Source organism: Homo sapiens, chromosome 6 (assembly GCF_000001405.40).
Source record: "Homo sapiens chromosome 6, GRCh38.p14 Primary Assembly".
Classification (NCBI taxonomy): Eukaryota; Metazoa; Chordata; class Mammalia; order Primates; family Hominidae; genus Homo; species Homo sapiens.
The window spans coordinates 35,292,268-35,297,817 of NC_000006.12; the positions used below are offsets into that span (position 1 = coordinate 35,292,268).

Consider the following 5,550-nt stretch of genomic DNA (forward strand, 5'->3'; position numbering starts at 1 on the left):
AACCTTATAAGCCCCAGTGCCCCCTACCAGCCCCTTCACTAGCCCCAGCCTTGCCCTGTCCCCCGTTTCCTTTCCGCCTTGTCTCTGGATTCAGTGGTTCAACACCTGTGTCCTCTCTGTGTTCCACTGGCCATCTTCCCCAACCCTGTCCATTCAGAGTCTCAGGTCTCAGTCCCTCTCCCTCCCTCTGGCTCTCCCTTCACCAACCCTGTCCCTCACCCCTGTCCCCTTAGTTTCCCCCTTGCCAGCCCCAGTTCCCACCCCCCTCACAGCCCAGTGTCCCCAGGGGAGAAGCCATACGTTTGCACGGTGCCAGGCTGCGGGAAACGCTTCACCGAGTACTCGAGCTTGTATAAGCACCACGTGGTGCACACACACTGCAAGCCCTACACCTGCAGCACCTGCGGCAAGACCTACCGGCAGACCTCCACCTTGGCCATGCACAAGCGCAGTGCCCACGGCGAGCTGGAGGCCACGGAGGAGAGCGAGCAGGCCCTCTATGAGCAGCAGCAACTTGAGGGTAAGGGGAGTGGGCAGAGGGTGAGAGTGGGGACAAGCCAGGCCTCCCCATGGCATCTGGTAGCAGATGTCAGCCTTGGCTCTCCTCTCCCAGCCGCCTCTGCAGCCGAGGAGAGTCCGCCACCCAAACGACCCCGGATAGCTTACCTTTCGGAGGTGAAGGAAGAGAGAGATGACATCCCAGCCCAGGTGGCGATGGTGACTGAAGAAGATGGGGCCCCCCAGGTGGCTCTGATCACTCAGGATGGTGCCCAGCAGGTACAGGCCCTGGAGGGCAGAGGTGCCATACTAGCTGGCACTCTCCACTCTCTCTGGGGACTCTGGGAGCCCTGAAGTTCTGACAGCCCCACTGCCACCCAGCTTCTTGTTTAAGTTTTATAGACTTCAGAGGCTGAGGCTGAGGAGACCACATCTTGCAGCACAGCCTCTCCTCCTCCTGTGCTTCCAGCTCAGTCTCTGGGGCTTCTAGAGCACAGTTAGTAGTTTCTCTCTTTACTTGGAGGCTGACAGGTCCTGTTCATCTGAACAGGATATGGGATGTCCTTCTCAAGAGAGGCATGTTCATATAGCAGCCAGAACATGGTATGGGGTCTGAAAGCCTGGGGTCTGGTCCTACTAGTGTACTAGCTAGCTATATAACCTGACCCTTGTCCGTACCCTTGCTAGAAAGTACATCTGTGCTTTCTAGAGTTGTTAGGACACAATCAGGTGGCGACCCTGAGCTGGATACAACAGGGCCCAGAGGCAAAGTGGTGATAAATAGAAGTAGTCAGTGGAATTCTTCTAGTGTGGCCTCTCTTTGCAACCTTGGACCCATTTTGTTTGCCTGTCACCCATCCCTTCCACCACTATGACATGAAACTAATAAGCTGACCTTGTCTGGGAGAGCAGGTATATCTTCCTTAGGGACTTTCAGACAACCCTCCACTGACACTGCCAGCTCATCTTCCCCTCCTGTTGGCAGGTCAGCCTGTCCCCGGAAGACCTGCAGGCCCTGGGGAGTGCCATCAGTATGGTCACCCAGCACGGCAGCACCACCCTCACCATCCCCAGTCCTGATGCCGACCTGGCCACATCTGGCACACATACAGTCACCATGGTCAGCGCCGATGGCACCCAGACGCAGCCCGTATGACCAGGCGGTTTGCTTGGGGTTTCTTATTTTGTCATTCCTTTCCATGGGGCGGGCATTAAAGTGCAGCCTAAACTAGTCAAGTCTTCTTACCAGGACAAAGATTCCCCACAAAAGAAGGGGTCTTCCCCACAGTTCCTGGGCCATGAGCAGCTCTTACCTTTAAAAGCAGTTGAATGGAGGTCAAGAGACACTTTCTAAATCTCAATTCAACCCTGATTTGTTGTGCAACCTTAGGCAAATCACTTTTCCATGGACTTCTGTCCATTTTCAAGTGAGGGGATTAAAATATCTCTGGAATTTTTTACAGCTCTGTCCTTCTGTGATTCAAAATCCCTAAATTAAATTGGGCTCTAAGTTGGGAGGAAACCCAGCCTTACTTAGCTCTGAGCCTCAGGCTAATTAATCTGACCCATACGGTTTTATCCATTCTCTTCTGGGTTGTTCCCAGCACCTTAATTGGAGGGATGTTTATTTGGATTGTGGGGAGGGAGAGTATACTGCAGGTGGAATGGAAGACCTCCTTTTGTCTTTCAGGTCACAATCATTACCTCTGGGGCTGTGGTGGCTGAGGACTCAAGTGTAGCATCTCTTCGTCATCAACAGGTGGCACTGTTGGCCACAGCCAACGGAACGCACATTGCAGTGCAGGTGAGTAGAGATCTGGGAGGAAAGGGGATCCCACGGCCAGAGAAGTCAACAAGGAATAAAGGGGAATTAGATGAGGATCTTGAAGAGAAGGGCATCTGACTCAAAAAGAGCCCATTTCAGAGGACAGATCCCTTTCCTCCTGCATCCATGCATCTGTCTCAGGCTCGCTCTTGGCTGAGGCAGAATGTTGAAGCCTCTTCTGGCCTTCAGGATAACTCCGATGGCAGTCCACCTGTGGTCCAAGCCCTTCATCATTTTGTGTCTCTGTTTCTTCATCTGGAAATGAAGGAGGCTGACGTAGATGATCACCACGGTTCTCTTCAGCCAGTCCTTCCTCCGTGAGCAAGTGGGTCTCTCTGACCCTGGCTATTCCAGGGCCCCCTGGCCATGCCTAGCCTAATAGGACTCTTCATCCGTGAACTTCATGTTTATTGGAGCCCTACTAAGTGCTCAGCGTGTGGCACTGGGTAGATGGGGGAGAGTCAAAAAAAAAAGTAGGCCACATATTACTAACACTGGAATCTAGCAGGGAGGGTCTCACTGTCTCCTTCCTTCTGCACCCCCTTCCCCACAGCTGGAGGAACAGCAGACCTTAGAGGAGGCCATCAATGTGGCCACTGCGGCCATGCAGCAAGGGGCTGTGACCCTGGAGACAACAGTGTCGGAGAGTGGCTGCTGAGTCCAAGAGGGCTGGGTCCCACACCATGCTGGAGGAAGTGCCATCTGCATGGCCACTCTTGCCCCCAAGGGCCCAGGCTGTGGCTGACACATAGAAGGTGGCCACATAGGTCTCTGGGGTGAGAAGACAGCAAGAAAACTGCCTAACTGAAGGGAATGGGGGCCCTGCTCAAGAAGGGGGCCAGGCAGCTGGAATCAGGGGAGTGCATCATCCTCGGGAGCTGACAACAGCCAGGCTACACCAGGGCACCCGCCTCTCAAAATCAGCTGGGCGCCCACTCTCCTCCTAAAGAACACCCTTCTGGCCCTCAGTCTGTTCCCCTTCTCAGGTAGAGATTGGGGCTGCTATGGGGACTGGCCCTGTAGGGTTGAGCCACAGACAGCTCTTCAGCCCAGTAGCAGTGGAGCAGGCCCTGTCCTGCCCTCCCAGCAATAACCACCTCCCTGGAGGCCAGCTGAGATGCCTGGCTACTTGGCACCAGGGACTTCCTGACACCACAGTCAATTAATTCCTCAGGGGCCTGTGGCTGAAGAAAAGGTGCCCAGCCCCCACCACTCCTCAGCTGCCCCCCAACCTCTCTATGGCAGAGAGGCAGGGAGTGGCCCTGTACATAGACTGCTGGGGATTGGGTTTGATTTGTTTTGTTTTTTTTAATTCCATTTTGATAATTTTTTTCCTGCTCTGGGTGGTGGTGGCACATGGATGAATGAGTATTTAATAAAAGTTCCAAATTTCCACCTGGGTCCCTCCATCCTTTCAGCTCTAGGCCCGGGTGGCAGGGTTGGTCAAATCAGGCTATCAGCCCTGTCTCCCTGGCACAAACCCCACTCAGCCTTGGTGCCAGAGTGGTGGGGCTGGCCTGCCAGGGACACAGGTGGGAAGGAAGCCCAGTATAAGATAAAGCCCTGAGGAGCTGCTGGTGGCTTCTTGCCCACAGCTGAGCAGGTGGGCTCCAGGGTAGCCAAACAGGACCAGGGTGACCGCTGCTTCCAGGCTCTGGCTGAATCTCAGGCCTCATGTGATTGAGCTGGGGGAACTCTTTTCCTGCCTTTTCTTGTGAAACGTAGTCAGAGCCCCTCCAACCCAGCCACCCCCAAATCACACAGTCAGCTTCTCCAAGAGGGCAAAGCCCCAGGTTAGAGTGAGGCTGGGGGACACCTTTGCCAAGGTTACTGAGATTCAAGGAGCAGAGTCTGATGCCTCTGGAGCTGAAGTCTTGGCTCTATTACCCAGCTCTGGGGGTGCCCACCTAGGTGCCTAGGACTGTGCTGTGGGATTTCAAAGCCACAATCAGACCCCACTGAAAAGTGAGTTGGTGAGACCAGATCAGCTCCAGGGGGAAGAAGGGATACAGGGGAAGGCACTTGATGGGAAGAAGCTCTGGGTTTGACTCTGCCTACACAGGAACATTGCAGGGATTGGTGGTGCCTCTTTTCCTCTCTCTGCTGTGATGGATATGCCCCAACCCCTTCCTGCCTCCTAGGATTGGAACCCCCTCCTCTGATCCAGGCATCCTCTCCCAGGATGCCTAGAAAGCTCCCATTTACTCTTGCCACCAGCTCCTTGGGAAGAGAGGGGCGGGGGCGTGCTTCCAGGCAGGAGGTATTCCCAGCACCTTACTTGGAGGGATTTTTATTTGGCTTAGGGGGTAGGGGGAGGTGTCTTAGAATTGGCCTGAGCAGATGTCTTCAACATCTGTGACCACCATTCCTGGTGTGGGCGTGTCCCAGTCCTTTTGGACACTGGATCTGAAGAAAGGAAGCACTGACATGGAGGGCCCTGAATCCCAAGCCTGCTGCTGCTGGGACCCTTAAAGTTGAGGTGCACCACAAGGCTCACCCCCATGTGTTTCAGGAAGTTTCCAGTGTCTTCAGGGCTACTGGGGCTAGAGTGGGCAGTGCTCTGAGTACCGTTTAGAGCCAGTGCTGAGGGGATAGGGAGCCAGCAAGTCAAGTGCCACATCCTGACCTGGAGAGGTGCCCTGGCCCATTTCCTTCTCCAGCTTTGTGATGTTGCCTTTGTTTCCTTCCACTTGGATGGAGTCCCACCACCATGGTAATGTTAAGTAGCACCAAAAGCTCTACCCAGAGCCTACTATGTGCTTTACGTCCATTCTCAGACATTCTTACAACACGGAGGCATTTTTCCTGCTTTACAAATGAGGAAACTGCTCAAGGAGGTTAAGTAACTTACCCAAGGCCTCCTATGTTGAACTAGGACTGGACCTTTACTCTGTCTGACCCCAATATCAGGATGAGCTTGCTTTTTCCCTCAGCAAGCTGCGTCTGGGAGCCCTGGAAGGCTCCAGAAGCCTCCGGGTCTGAGGAGGCTTCTAAAAGGGCCTCACATGCCCCGGGAGCCACGTGGATACAGAACGAGGGTTCCCGCTCTCGGAGAGTTGGTCCCCAGTTCCCATGCAGGGAGTGGAGCCTCTGAGCACTGCCAGAACAACAGGCAGGGTTCTCGACAGCACAGAGCCTCACGCAATGTGCAGGCAGGTGGTGCTCTCGCTCCACCACGGCACCTCTGCGGTCTCTGCAGCCGTTTGCATTTCCTGAAACCGGATCTT

General features: G+C 54.5%; 1 protein-coding gene across 15 annotated transcripts in view, besides 1 other annotated feature; it reads left to right on the forward strand.

Annotated features, from left to right (window-relative positions):
* Positions 1-3,718, forward strand: part of ZNF76 (zinc finger protein 76) — a 36,453-nt gene extending 32,735 nt beyond the window's left edge. For 5 of the 15 annotated variants that reach the window (XM_047419300.1, XM_047419299.1, XM_047419301.1 and 2 more), the window contains 5 exons: positions 287-520; positions 614-777; positions 1,484-1,648; positions 2,189-2,302; positions 2,513-2,648. In XM_047419300.1, coding sequence (XP_047275256.1) covers positions 287-520; positions 614-777; positions 1,484-1,648; positions 2,189-2,302; positions 2,513-2,644 — 809 coding nt within the window. In that variant the 3' untranslated portion in view covers positions 2,645-2,648. Of the gene's footprint in view, positions 1-272; positions 521-613; positions 778-1,483; positions 1,662-2,188; positions 2,303-2,512; positions 2,649-2,876 lie in introns of those variants that run through there. The other 10 variants (XM_017011249.3, NM_003427.5, XM_047419302.1 and 7 more) reach the window with 5 other exon arrangements.
* Positions 3,888-4,052: a silencer, noted in NCBI's record as "fragment chr6:35263932-35264096 (GRCh37/hg19 assembly coordinates)". NCBI's record gives its function as "represses an EF-1alpha promoter that drives an FKBP-Casp9 reporter gene in an ReSE screen in HepG2 liver carcinoma cells {active_cell/tissue: HepG2}" and the evidence as "EXISTENCE:reporter gene assay evidence [ECO:0000049][PMID:32094911]".